The sequence below is a fragment of the Homo sapiens genome, chromosome 3 (assembly GCF_000001405.40).
Source record: "Homo sapiens chromosome 3, GRCh38.p14 Primary Assembly".
Lineage (NCBI taxonomy): Eukaryota > Metazoa > Chordata > Mammalia > Primates > Hominidae > Homo > Homo sapiens.
In genome coordinates this window covers 21,384,053-21,399,711 of record NC_000003.12, presented here as the reverse complement: position 1 = coordinate 21,399,711, position 15,659 = coordinate 21,384,053, and the positions used below count along the sequence as shown (strand labels likewise).

Sequence of the window (15,659 nt, the reverse complement as noted above, 5' to 3'; positions counted from 1 at the left end):
GGAGGTTGTGGTACAGTTTTGCTGGCCACTGGGGTGCCAGCTAGGCCAATTTTTGATCCACAGTGGTTGCATTGGTGAGCTGGGTATGCCTGTTTGTAAACCTCAGGGTGGTGTATGCTGGTACCTGGGTTAGTGGGCCCAGGTGGGCCAATTTTGGGATCTCCATGTTGCTTACTCAGATGCCAATAGTGGCAGCCATGGGCTGGAAGGTTGGTGGGTTCCAAGGCTTCTGGCCTGCCAATATGGCATGGGCAATGACAGTAGCCATGGTGGAACAATCCTCTGTGTCCCCCTATGCACTAGTATTGGCAGTGGCTGAAATATGGTGGGTGGGCCAGTCTCCATGTCTGCAGGTAGCATATATAGATAGGTGCCAGCTGGGGTGGTAGTGGCTAGGTGCATAGTCCCAATATCAGTCTCCTGGGAGGAGTGTTCATTCACGTGCCAATGGTGGTAGACCGGACCGGGCAATTGCCTGGCCCACAAACTGTGAACTCTGGCATGGGAGGGAGGGGAAAAGCTGGATTATGCTGGCTTGTTATCAGGTCTTCAATGGTGTATACAGTGTTTGGCCATGGTAAGGAGGGGTGGGGCGGTCCCTAGGCCACAGATAACATGCTTAGGTAGAGGATAGCAATGGCCACACTACTTCCCTGTCATTGAGGGAGAAGGAAGTGCCACTTTCAGTGACAGTAGCCTAGGCTGGTGGGTGATAGAACACACTTCACTCATGTGTCATTGGAAGTGGTACTGGAACTTCAGCCCTAGAGTCAGCAGTCAGCTCTTTTCTTGTACCTAAGCCTCAGCAGCCCTGGGCTCCAAGACAGTGTGAAGTCTGTTGGGCGTGGGGCTCTAGAATGGTGCCTCATTCATGCCTCAGTCTTAAGGGTGGAAGCATGTGCCTCAGTTGCACCTCCATGCTGGGTGCAGTAGCTCTCAGTCACTTGTGCTTAAGCCCTGGGGGCAGCAGCTGTACTCTCTTACACATCAGCCCCAGGGCCACTGGGTCCAGGACAGTGCGTAGTCTCCTGAGGGTGGAGTTCTAAAGTGGAACCTCGCTGAAGCTGCTTAGGTCTCGAGGAATGTGAAAGATGGAGTACGAGCTTCCTCCCTGGGGCAGTGCCTGTGGTACAATTTTCTAGCAGCTCCTTATGTTAGTTTCAGGACTCATGATGGGGATATACTGTGTCCAGAATTGTAGGAATCCATGGTGAGAATGTGGACCCCTGAGGGTCTCTTACTCACCCTTTCCCCAAATTGAGAAGTCTTTCTTGGCTTCCAGGTGATCCTGGCTAAGCAAGCTGTCTCACTTCCTTCTCCTTCCTTGCTTTAGGTATTGCCTGTCAATTTTCTGTTGAATCCCAGTGTTTTCTTTTGGGCAGTCCATTAAAACTGTGATTATTTATTCACTATTTTGGATCTTCTTCATGGAGGAAGTGAATACAAAATTCTTTAATAAAGTATCTTGAAACCTTACCCTGAAAATGCCAAATGCATATTTTGTTTCATCTTCTCAGTGATTACCAGAGAAAAATATTACTATCCCCTATTACAAATGTAAAATAAATAATATTATGGAAATCAAACAGCTGCCCTGAGATAAACGGTAGGTGATCTTTGGAGAAAATACCTAAATCAAGAACTTCAATGCCTATTTTTTTTCTATCAAACAATGTCAGATTTTCTATCAAGCTATTTCACAGAGAGAATAACAATTTCATTGAATCTAGCAAAAAACAGGTAAGTAGACATCACTTTTAGTAAAGAACAAAAGTTCAAACTTTTAATCAAATTTGTTTAGGAATAATAATAATGCCAATGATAACAATGATAATGATGATGATGGTGATAATGACATTGAGCTCATTTCAAGTTTAGAGCATGTCACTGTTTGTCTACAATCTTTTCTTTCACAGTAGAGTGACCTAGGGTCTTAAGACCAATGTGCAAAATCTATGCTCGTTCTTCTACCCTTTCACTGCTTTTTCAATACCTGTTGTATTCAAATATCAGTTTTCTTTTATTTAGTCTTCAGTGTGTTACAGTTGCTTTAATACAATGATGAGATTGGTGTTAGAAGGGTCATCAATTACTCATCAGCAATAAGATGCCTTGTTGAATTTAAATTGTTTAACAGAAGTCCAAAATCTCAGAAACCAGGGCTTTTGGGCAAGATGTTTTGCCTATCCCCACTACCTATGAGCAACTAATGAGGGGTAAAATGTAGAACATAAAATAAATATTATTTAAGTGGTAGAACAGATTGCAAGACAAAATTTGCCTTCCAAATAGCACCCTAAAAGCTCTGAGAACTAAAATGTCTCTATCATTTAATAGAGAATTCTGTTATAAACTATGATACATTTGAAACTAATTGCCTTTCAATACCTGCTACAAGAATGTCTGCACATCTTAAGATCTAGGGTAGATGACATAATGATTAAGAGATAATTTTTGTAATTCTTTACAGTTTTTGAAGTGTTTAAAATAAATAATATTAACTATTAAATAACAAAAGATGCCCTGAAGCAGAGTTTGTCCTAATATGGTACCTGGTCCACCCCCGTCAGAATTATTAGGAGAGCTTGTTATGCAAATTCTTGAGCTCTACCCCACAGAGAATCAGAATCTCTAAAGGAGATGTCCAGAAACCTTCCTGTTTCCAACTCTTAGTGATTCCTATGTACATTAAACTACCATCTAAAAGAGCTGCTAGTTCTGACATCTTTTCACAGCCTTCCTTTATAATTTTTGGCATGATACAGAACACTGGAATACTGTCACTACTGTGATCAGGCTTCTTCCACCAAAAGGGCTTTTCCACCTTGGCATTGATTTTCTGTAATGGACAGATATATTATTTAAGTAGAAGATACATTAAGTATTAAGATACTATTAAGTAGAAGATACATTATTTTAGAACTTGATATTCCTTTATACCATATCTCTTCCATAGATAAAATAAACAATTTGGAATATATATATATATCAGGAATATATATATATATCCTGATATATATATCAGGAATATATATATATATTCCTGATATATATATATCAGGAGCAAAATGTACACACACACACACACACACACACACACACACACACTCATTTTCAGGGATGACTCTGTAAGTCTCCATAATAAAGGACCAGAATATGGTGTTTCATATATATAAGCATTATGCATTTTCCATTAAACTGGAAAAAAATGAGAGGGTTTAGATACCAGCTGATAAGATTACATAGCTGAGGTAGCTTGTAGAAAGTTTACATGCCCCAGATATCTATGCATTCCACTTCAGGGACAAACTACAAACAGTATATTGAGAGGCGAAATCCAAATGGTACCCACAGTGACTACATTGACACTGCCCCTGCCTGTCACCCACCATGCTTGAAAGGCTTGAAATTTTGGAAACCATTAGTTTCAAAGAGTACAAAGACACTATTCACTGTGGTGGGAATCTGAAGACTTCTGTTTCCACCATGACTATCTTAAATTTGCAGAGCGTGCTTCCATAAGTGAGTCTTCCTTTCCAAACTATTTAGCTTATAAGGTTGGCTATATTTTGTTGTGCAAATATCGAATGGCTCCTGCACAGACACCTGTTTCATGAGTAACATTACGTAACTGCTACCTTAATGAGTTTTCCAAACTGATGCTATTTACTATACATGAGCATAGGCCAATTATTTCTTTATAGTACTCTGTGCTTAAAATTCCCCATCTGTTAGATGGAAATACTAGTAATATGCCTACATCATATCATAGTGTTCTTATGCCTATATATATATATATGTGTGTGTTTAAAATGGCACCTGGTACAGGATAAATGCTGTGTAAATATTACCATTATTGTTATAATTTTCATTATTTATCTATAAGTCTTATTTCTAAAAAAGCAAGAGTTCTTAGGCCCAAATTAGTGTTTTAAATGAAAAACACATGTTTTGTATTCATGATTGTGTATGTGTGCTCATGTGTGTGTGCATAAATCATCTATTGGTTTGAAAGTGTTAAGGTAGAAATGTCTATGCATGTATTTATGTGTTCTGGGAGGTCTTCAGAAAATTTATTTTGAAACAAGAATATGTTTAAAAATGTAGAGGAGTTTTTGGTGTTGATATAATAATGGCTACTATTATTAATCACCTATAATTGACCACACTTTTTATATATGTAATCTTAACTAATTTTTATAAAATTTCTGGGAGGTAAGTTTTATAAGTTTATGAAAGAGATAGCTGGTGGTCTAAGAAGTCAAGCAATCAAAGCAAGACAAAATAGCATGTAAGTATTGCAATGGAAATTCAGACCTGAGTTTTATTGCTTCAAAGCTAGTTGCTATTTCCACCCTATTTAATCATCTTGTTAATTAATGAATTTTAATTAGTGACCACTAAATGTAGTGATGCCAAGATTTCTACTATTATGTCTCATTATTTAATTCATCCACCCAGCCATCCACCCATCCAATGAAGATGTCTTGAAATAGCACTTTGTTAGGCAATTGGAATTTTTTTTTAAAAGCCTAAGACATAGTATCTGTCTTAAGAAGTTCACTCTTTAGAGGGTAAACACACATGCAAACAAATAAATGTGGATTATGCTGGGGGGGAATATACAAAATGTTATGAAAACTAAAAGAGAGACTACCTAATTACCAGGTGCAAGGGGAAAAAGGGAGGTCAGGGAAGGCTTTCCATAAGTTAGAGCATTTCAGAAAGCTGAAAGGTGAGTCAAGGCCGGGCGCGGTGGCTCACACCTTAATAGCAACACTTTGGGAGGCTGAAGTGGGTGCATCACCTGAGGCCAGGAGTTTGAGACCAGCTGGGCCAACATGGTGAAACCCTGTCTCTACTAAAAAAACACACAAAAAAAACCCCACAAAAAATTAGCTCGGTGTGGTGGCGCATGCCTGTAATCCCAGCTACTCAGGAAACTGAGGCAGGGGAATTGCCTGAATGCAGGAGGTGGAGGTTGCAGTGAGCCAGGATCGTGCCACTGTACTCCAGCCTGGGCAACAGAGAAAGACTCTGTCTCAAAAAACAAAACAAAACAAAACAATAAAAAGATGAGCCAAATGTTTTCTTGAACTACACAGGAAGGGACGCCATGATCCTTCCAAAGGATGAAGTTCTGCTCTACAGAGCCTGGGCAAGTATTTTCCAAGCAGATAGAGATTTAGAAATATTTGACATTCCTACAGAGATTTATTGGAACTTAGGCTGATTCCATTGGTTCAGCTACATAATTTCTCACACAATTATGTGTAAAATTATTTAATGTCCTATCTTGTATCACTTTTTTCCTGTTACTCTACTCCACCATCCCCCTTCTCTAACTTCATTGCAAGATTCTTGAGAAGAACACTCGAGCTGTGAGTTGACTGGCAATGAAATCAGAACAACTCTTTAGCCAACTCCCTGTTCTAGCAGGGGATTCAAAAATGATATCTGACAAACATCCATCCCGTTAAATCAAACTCTCATCCTGACATTGTTTCTGTAACAAGTGGAGAACTTTGAAAAACAATGCTTCATCATCTCCTGAAAACCAAAGCACTTTCCACTTGTGATAATAATTTACAGAGGGGGAACAAAGTTTGTGTGGTTTTTAGATTCAACATAGGAAGAACAGAACATCAAGTGCTATTCAGACTGAGAGACAAAAACTTGAAATTTCTCCTCAGTGAATAAAGTTATTTGGAGAGCCATTTATTTATTAAAAATCTGCGTGTTGCTTGGATACAAATTCACAACAGGCACATAACTTCCCCAAATTTGCTGATCCTGGAAGGCAGTCCCAGTGTGTTGTGATTGTGTGGTACCCAGGGTTGCCAAGCCGGCCCCCCAGCCCCTCTGGGGCAGGGTGAAATCTGGACATGTTCGACTCTTCTCTTGGTGGAAGAAAAAGATACAGAACTGACTCTTCTCAGAGAATTTGCTGGGAAATTCCCAGGCTTAATGTGTTGCCTCTTGATGATTATTTTATATCATAAGAAAAGCACTGATTCCTAAGTAGATCTGCATTTATTGTTTAAAACACACTTTTGGTCAAGCACATGAAAAATCTGTTTTCTTGCTTTGGGTTACATACATTTACTTTGCACATTCTTCCCAAATATCTAACAAATTTCTGATGGAAACGTGATGAAGTAAGACTGTTGGAGTGGGGATTCATGAAGAGGGGTGTGGAGCATTGAAAGAGAAGAAAGAGAAAGAGGAAAAAGTTCTCAGGGTTCAGTGATGTGTTAATAACTATTAATAACTATTAATAACTACAACAAAAATCAAGAGGTTGAAGTTTTATGGGCATAGTTTGACTTAAAATAGAAACATGTTTTCTGAGCATTTACATTGTCCAACAGTAAAGAACCAGTGTACAACTTCTGCTGAGAAGACAGGCTTTGGAGACACACTGTCTGTGTTAGAATCCTGGCTCTGTGTCCTTAGGAAAATTATATAACCCCTGCCTCATCTTTGACACCTTTTGTAAAATGAGGACACGCATAATGCATACCTCACAAAATTACTAAGAGGACTGGGTGAAATAATAGATGTAAATTGCTTAGCACTTTGTTTTACATGAAACAATAGAAACAACTAACAATCTAGTTACCATTTATTGAATGCTGCCTATGAAGAGTTACAGTCCCAAGAGTTATATGTATACTACCTCACCCAATTCTTATAATAACTCTACATTATAGGGAATATTATTCCCCACTTCACAAATGAGAAAACTGAGGTATTAACGTACCGAGGCCCAAGGTCTCACAATGGTGAAGTAAGGATTCAAATCTAGGCAGTTTGGCTCCAGAGCCCATAATTATAATGATTGATCATATTCTGGGCTTAGGAACGTGCCTGAAACATTACAAACATTACATAAATTGTAGCTATTCTTCCTCTTATTTTTAATAACAGAGTAGATGCCTTGAAAGGCAGGAATCTGGAACTATTTACAAGTTGATGAATAACCCTCCAAGAATTCTAGATAAAAGATGACTGCATTTGTAGTAAATTATTAATTGGCTTTGAATGATCCTTTCCACTCTACACTGGCTTTGGGAACAAGCTAATGTGTATTAAAATCCTGATTCTGCCACTTCCAGGTCATGTAACTCTGAACAAAATGTTTAACACCTGTGAAAATATCAATTGCCTGTAAAATCAAGACAATAATATCCATGTTGTAAGGATTCAATAGAAATAGTGTACATAAAATTTAGCCCACTGCTTGATAAATTGTTAACTACTTGGCAGACAATGCCAACAATTGTTAAATTACTGTATTACTTATATTTATTTAGGTTTTTACTTCTCCAATCCATTTTAATCTATAGTCACCTTTTTATGTTGGACTACTTAATATTGTAGAGGAGACACATTTTTCAGATAGCCCTGCTACTCTGTCATGGGAAAAGATCAGAATTGGGTTTAAGGAATTAAGGAAAGATGAAGACTGGAAGGAACCATTAGAAGTGGAGAAAGTAGAGCTAAAAACAAAGGAGGGAGCAAATATAATAGACCTGTGTAACAGACTTCTCATTTGGCCTAAATCTGCTGCTACTGCTAGGTATGGTGAATTCTGGGGATGAATGTTAAAGCAATGGTTTTCCACTGGCCACTTCCAATGTCCATATGTACCCAACAATAATAAGAAGGGGAGATAACTACCCAGGGGTCAAACAGAGTTACTGCTCCTAGCTGTATCTTTTGACGCAATGGCTCTAAGCCCATGCCAGCTGTTGCTGGTGCCACCTTGAGAGGACCACAGCAAGTTCTACATTTGCCTTTATGACAGAGCTGGCATACCCAATGAGAGAGTAGAAAGTAAACCCTGATGGAGATTGATGACCCTGACTAGAATAAATGAAGGTGACACTCCAAAAATGGAATATATTTAGGTAAATATATAGGGTTCAAATTATATATTTAACTATTTAGGGATGACCCTGAAGTCATATTTTTTAATATAATAATTTACCAGAAGACAAATAAACTTAACATACTTTCTTACAGGGCAAAAAAAAAAAAGGAATTATTAACAGGTCTGTTTTCATTTTGAAGGGTTTTTATTCTTTTATTCTTTTTTTTTTTTTTTTTTTGAGGCTAAGTCTAGCTCTTGTCACACAGGCTGGAGTGCAATGGTCAGATGTTGGCTTGCTGCAACCTCTGCCTCCCAGGTTCAAGTGATTCTCCTGCCTCAGCCTCTTGAGTATTGGGATTACAGGCACCTGCCACCACGCCCAGCTAATTTTTGTATTTTTAGTAGAGATGGGGTTTCACTATGTTGGCCAGGCTGGTCTCAAACTCCTGAACTCAAGTGATCCACCCACCTGGGCCTTCCAAAGTGTTGGGATTACATGCATGAGCCACCCCCGCCCAGCAGGTTTTTATTCCTTTATAGGTTTCAGGCTACGCAAAGGGAGGGAGAGAGGAGGAGAGCATTCTAGGAAGAACCAAGTGTCACAAAAAGAATGAAATGGAAGCAGAAAATTCAAGCTCCGTGTGCTTCTCACACTATAGTTAGGCTGTCACTAATGTGACTATTAACTTTTCATGTTCAGATTTATTATGCTGTCATTATAGCACTTTTCTTTGCTGATGTATCAAACCACTATTACATATTTGTTGGCATCTCATCTATTTAAGGGAAACAAGTGATTACCTGTTGCCAAGGAGACTAATAAGGAATGTGCAAGCAAAGGACTGTAGAGTTCTCTTTGGAAGATAACAAGCCACTGGTATTTTATTTTGGATCAAATCATACACTACCTCATTGTTTAAAGAAAAATCACTTTATCCCTTCCATTAAAAACTAGGGTACTTATTCAAATGAAAAAACCTAAAGACTTTTATAAAACAAAATAAATATTTGGGAAAATAATATGTGATAAGGCATCCCTAGAAAGGAAAGTTACTTCTGGAATTTTTGAAAGTTTCGATCTTTCAAATATATTTTTATATATAAAAATATAATTTCAATACAATGTTTTCAGTATAATCAGTGGGTATTTTGGAAGTAATGCTAATTACTATAACACATAAAATCCCAGTATTTTAATATTTTTTCATAACTTCAACCTATATGTTCCTAATGGGCAGGTGAATGACCTCCACGTTTATTTAGCACCCAGGATCCTTTTGTCTTATGAGTCTGCCCTTCTCTGAAAATGTTTCCTTAATCTACAGAGTAGCACACAAACAGGATGGAGGATTATACTAGAAAGGTTTTCCAAGGCCAGAGCTGGTAAGTCACGTGTCACTTCTGCTTGTATCTCACTGCCAGAAAGCAAATACATAGCCTCACCTAATTGCCAGGGAGACTGGAATATGCCATTGAGCTATGAGCACACGAAGAAGAATGAAGTGGTTTATGAGCATCTGGATAGCCTCTGCAACCCAGAGTTAAGTACAGATACTAAGAAAACACAGAGCATGACTCCCCAAATCGGTTGTAGTGAGTTGTAAAAGAGGTATGAGAAGTTCTGGGAGGGAATAAGACAGGCATGACTTGGAGATATTGCTTATTCAGTTTGAGATCACCACAATAAAGTGAATTTTACAATAAAGTGAGGGATACAAATTTTTTGATTTCCCAGTGCATATAACCGTTATGTTTATACTATACTGTAGTCTATTAAATGTTCAGTAGCATGGTGTCTAAAAAACAATGTACAGACCTTAATTTAAAAATACTTTACTGCTAAAAAATGCTAACAATGATTTGAGCCTTCAGCAAGTTGTGATCTTTTTGCTGACAAAGTGTCTTGCCTGGATGTTAATGCCTACCGACTGATCAGTGTGGTGGTTGGGGTGGCTGTGGCAATTTCTTAAAATAAGACAATAAAGTCAGCCACGTTGATAGACTTCCTTTCACAAAAAAAATTCTCTGTAACATGTGATGGTGTTTGGTAGCATTTTACCCATGGAAGAACCTCTTCCAAAGTGCACTCAGTCTTCCCAATCCCTGCCACTACCTTGTCAACTAAGTTTATGTAATGTTCTGAATCCTTTGTTGTCATTTTAACAATGTTCCCGGCATTTTCACCAAGAGTAGGTTCCATATCAAGAAACCACTTTCTTTGCTCATCCATAAGAAGAAATTTTTCATCCATAAAATTTTCTCATGACATTGCAGCAATCTAGGCACATCTTCAGGGTCTACTTTTAATTCTAGCTCTCTTGGAATTTCTACCACATCTTCAGGGACTTCCTCCACTGAAGCTTGAACTCCTCAAAGTCATCCATAGGGGTTGGAATCAACTTTTTCCAAACTTGTTAATGTTGATATTTTGACCTCCTCCCATGAATCACAAATATCCATAAATGCATCCATAATAGTAAATTCTTTCTAAAAGGCTTCAACACGTATTTCTTAACTAATAATACTTGAAAGTTAAAATTACTTCTTGATTTGTAGGCTACAGAATGGGTGTTAATAGGCATGAAAACAACATAAATCTTGTACATCCCTATCATAGTTATTGGATGACTAGGTACATTGTTAATGAGCAGTAATACTTTGAAAGGAGTATTTTTGTGTGAGTGGTAGATCTCAACAAGGGGCTTGAAATATTCAGTAAACTATGCCGTAAACAAATGTGCTGTCACCCAGGCTTTATTCCATTTATAGAGCACAGACAGAGTAGATTTAACACAATTATTAAAACCCTAGGATTTTCAACATGGCAAATGAGCATTGGCTTCAAGTAAAAGTCATCAGCTGCCTTATTCCCTAAAAAGAGAGTCAATCTGTCCTTTGAAGATTTGAAGCCAAATAGTGACTTCTCTCCAGTTGTGAAAGTCTTACATGGCATCTTCTTCCAATAGAAGGCTGTTTCATCTACATTGAAAATATATCGCTTAGTGTAGCCACCTTCATCAATGATCTTGGATGGATCTTTTGGATCACTTGCTGCAGCTTCTACATCAGTACTTGCTGCTTCACCCCTTTTACTTATATGTTGTGGAGATGACTTATTTCTTTAAACTTCATGAACCAACCTCTGCTAGCTTCAGACTTGTCTTTTGCAGCTTCCTCATGTCTCTCAGCCTTCATGGCATTGAAGTGAGTTAGAACCTTGCTCTGGATTAGGCTTTGGCTTCAGGGAATATTGTCGCTGATTTGGTCTTCTATCCAGACCACTAAAACTTTCTCCATATCAGCAGGAAGGCCATTTTACTTTTTTTCCATATGTGTGTTCACTGGAGCAGTACTTTTAATTTCATTTAAACTTTTCCTTTGACTTCACAAGTTTTTAGCCTGTCTCAGCTTTTGACATGCCTTCCTTACTAAGCTTCATCATTTCTACATTTTGATTTAAATTGATAGATGGTGACTTTTCCTTTCACTTGAACACTTAGAGGCCATTTAGGGTTATTAATTGGCCTAATTTCTATATTGTTATGACTCAGGGAATAGAAAGGCTCAAAAAGAGGGAAAGAGACAGAAAAATGGCTGGTTGGTGGAGAATTTAGTATACACAGTACATTTGTTGATTGTTTGCCATCTTACATGGGCACAGTTAATGGTACCCACAAACAATTACAATAGTAACATCAAAGATCTCTGAACACATATCATCATAACAGATAAAAAAATAATTAAAAAGCTTGAAATAGTATGACAATTGCTCAAATGTGACACAGAGACATCAAGTGAGCATGTTTTTGGAAAAATGGCACTAAAAAAACTGCTTGATGCAGGGTTAGCACAAATCGTTAATTTGTAAAAAATCAATATTTGTATATTACAATAAAGCAAAGCACAATAAAACAAGGTGTTTCTGTAATTGGGTTTTGTCAAAAAATGAATAAACATAATCTAGACTACAAAGGACAAGAGAGAGAATTTGAGGCAGTGGAAATAACACAAGGAAAGGCATAGTATAAGTAAAAGAATAAACAAGCAGGGTAACCACGAGTAGTTCAGTATTGAGAGGTGACAGCATGCTGGCAGCCCTTGCAGCCCTTGCTTGCTCTCAGCGCCTCTTCGGCCTTGGCGCCCACTCTGGCCGAGCCCTTCAGCCTGCCACTGCACTGTGGGAGCCCCTTTCTGGGCTGGCCAAGGCCGAAGCTGGCTCCCTCAGCTTGCGGGGAGGTGTGGAGGGAGAGGCGCAGACAGGAACGGGGCTGCATATGGCGCTTGTGGGCCAGCATGAGTTCTGGGTGGGCGTGGGCTTGGTGGACCCCACCCTCAGAGCAGCCGGCCAGCTCCACCAGCCCTGGGCAGTGAGGGGCTTAGCACCTGGGCCAGCAGCTGCTGTGCTCAATTTCTCGCCGGGCCTTAGCTGCCTCCCCGTGGGGCAGGGCTCGGGACCTGCAGCCTGCCATGCCTGAGCCTCCCCCCACCCGCCGTGGGCTCCTGCGCGGCCCAAGCCTCCTCAACAAGCGCCACCCCCTGCTCCACGGCGTGCAGTCCCATTGACCGCCCAAGGACTGAGGACTGCGGGCGCACGGCGCGGGACTGGCAGGCAGCTCCACCTGCAGCCCCGGTGTGGCATCCACTGGGTGAAGCCAGCTGGGCTCCTGAGTCTGGTGGTGACTTGGAGAATCTTTATGTCTAGCTAAGGGATTATAAATACACCAATCAGCACTCTGTACCTAGCTCAAGGTTAGTAAACACACCAATCAGCACCCTGTGTCCAGTTCAGGGTTTGTGAATGCACCAGTCAGCACTCTGTATCTATTTAATCCGGTAGGGACTTGGAGAACCTTTATGTCTAGCTAAGGGATTGTGAATGCACCAGTCAACACTCTGTATCTAGCTCAAGGTTTGTAAATGCACCAATCAGCACTCTGTGTCTAGCTCAAGGTTTGTAAATGCACCAATCAGCACTCTGTGTCTAGCTAATCTGATGGGGACTTGGAGAATCTTTATGTCTAGCTAAGGGATTGTGAATGCACCAATCAGCACTCTCTGTCTAGCTCGAGGTTTGTAAATACACCAACCGACACTCTGTATCTAGCTAATCTAGTGGGGAGGTGGAGAACTTTTGTGTCTAGCTCAGGGATTGTAAACGCACCAATCAGCACCCTGTCAAAACGGACCAATCAGCTCTCCGTAAAACAGACCAATCGGCTCTCTGTAAAATGGACCAATCAGCAGGATGTGGGTGGGGCCAGATTAGGGAATAAAAGCAGGCTTCCCGAGCCAGCAGTGGCAACCCGCTTGGGTCCCCTTCCACACTGTGGAAGCTTTGTTCTTTCGTTCTTTGCAATAAATCTTGCTACTGCTCACTCTTTGGGTCCACACTTCCTTTATGAACTGTAACACTCACCGCAAAGGTCTACAGCTTCACTCCTGAAGCCAGTGAGACCACGAACCCACTGGGAGGAACAAACAACTCCAGACACACCGCCTTAAGAGCTGTAACACTCACCGTGAAGGTCTGCAGCTCCACTCCTGAGCCAGTGAGACCACGAACCCACCAGAAGGAAGAAACTCGAACACATCCAAACATCAGAAGGAACGAACTCTGGACACGCCGCCTTTAAGAACTGTGACACTCACCACGAGGGTCCGTGGCTTCATTCTTGAAGTCAGTGAGACCAAGAACCCACCAATTCCAGACACAGTATTACTGGAACAAAAATATGAGATGGAATATGGCAAATGAAAAGGAAGATGTGGTATAATGATACTACTAATAGCAGGGAATACATCTCGGCCACTTGCTATACAATGTGCTGTGTTAGAAGCATTTTATGTGTATCAACTGATTTTGATCCTCTTAGTAAGCCGTTGAGCTAAAGATTATTTACCCCATTACCTCACCTATGTGTGAGGAAGTTAATTTTCCCATGAACACGGAGTGAATAAATGGTAGAGCTGAGATTCAAACCTATGGAAATCAATTCCTAACCCATAAGCATTTGACCACTTCTCCTAGTATAAATCCTAGTGATAATCTTGTGGGTTACAAACAACTTACTGAATTGTGTTGAACAAGGAGGAGCAGTCATAAGCAATCCTGAATTTTAGATCTATAGTTTAATCTGGTGGTTGGTGGAGGTGGATTAGAACAGTGGCTCTCAAACCTGAAAGTGTATTGAGATCACCTGGAAGATTTATTAAAACACAAACTTCTGGAGCGTACCACCAAAGTTTTTTATTTAGTGTCCCTCGAGTGGGGTTTTAGATGTGAATTTCTAACAACTTTCCGGAGATGCTACTCCCACACTTTGAGACTCACTGGATTTGAAGAAGGTATGATTGAAACAACGCTTATTTTGGCTAGCGCTAGTTGACACTTTGAGTAGTGCATGGTGGGCATGTAATATCTTGTTTCCTGCCTCATTGTTAGAATATCAACATTTTTATTCCATTTTCTGAATTATGTCTATGAGACCTTCACTTATTGGTAGTAACTACCAATTTTTGAATGGAGCAATGGCCAGATTCTTGAAGACTTCAGTATTTAATACATGGTAAATCCACTGTATTAGTTTGCTAGGGCTATCATTTTTAAAAAGTATTAAAGACTAGGTGGCATAAACAACAAAAATATATTTTCTCAAAAATTCTGAAGGTTAAAAGTCCAAGATCAAGTAGGTTTGATTTCTTCTGAGGCCTCTGTCCTTGGCTTGCAGATGGCTTCCTTCCTGCTATTGAGGACAAAACTCTGATTCTTTTATCTTGCCCAAATTCCTATCTAAGGGGCTGGGAGTCCTGCTCTACAAAGCATAAATTCTCATCAGATGGGTTTTATTTAACCCTATATATTATGACTTACTTTCCTGACTCTGACATAGCATTATGAGACAAGGAAGAAAATCAAAATATTTTACCCCAAAACTTGTTTATTTGCCATATTTTGAAATGGCCCTCCAAGGCTATTCTTTGTGGGGGGAAATTTGCATCTGTAGAGAACCTCTGTTAACATAGCTGGATCTTTTTCTTCCAGACCCTCCCAATCCTAAGGAGATTAACCAAGATATGAATAAGAAACATTTGTCATCTATTGTCTTTAAGGGCAGCCACTATAAAACTGCAAAAGAACTTTGATCTCCATAGTCTTTATCTTACTTTCCCTTTCTTTCAATCCCTTTCTTTCTTTCAATCTTTAGTCAAACTCAACCAATTGTCAACCACAAAATGTTTAAATTCACCTATAGCCTGGAATCTCCCCCGCCCTACCCCACCTTTGAATTTCCCAGCCTTTCTGGACTAAACCAATATATTTCTTAAATGTGTTTGATTGATGTCTCATGAGTCTCTAAAATGTATAAAACCAAGCTGTGCCCCAACCACCTTGGGCACATGTTCTCAGGATCTCCTGATGGCTGTGTCCCCAGACCATGTTCACTCATATTTGGCTCAGAAAAAATTTCTTTAAACATTTTACAGAGTTTGACTCTTTTCATCGACACTATGTCCTTGCATGGCCTTTATTTTGTGTATGAATATTTTTGGTGTCTGTTTCTTTTCTTTTTCGTTTCTTTTTTTTTTTTTTTTTTTTTTTTAGAATTGGGGTCTTTTCCTGTCACCCAGGCTAGAGTGCAGTGGAGGGATCATAGCTCACTGTAACCTAAAATTCCTGGGCTCAAGTGATCCTCTCACCTCAGTCTCCCAAGTAGCTGTGTTTCTCTTCTTACAAGGTCACCAGTCATATGAAATTAGGGCTCCACCCTATTGGCATCATTTT

At 39.7% G+C, this 15,659-nt stretch overlaps 1 annotated feature.

Annotated features, from left to right (window-relative positions):
- Positions 435–935: an enhancer, noted in NCBI's record as "H3K27ac hESC enhancer chr3:21440269-21440769 (GRCh37/hg19 assembly coordinates)". NCBI's record gives its function as "activates a minimal SCP1, AML or CMV promoter by ChIP-STARR-seq in primed H9 embryonic stem cells {active_cell/tissue: H9 hESC(primed)}" and the evidence as "EXISTENCE:reporter gene assay evidence [ECO:0000049][PMID:30033119]".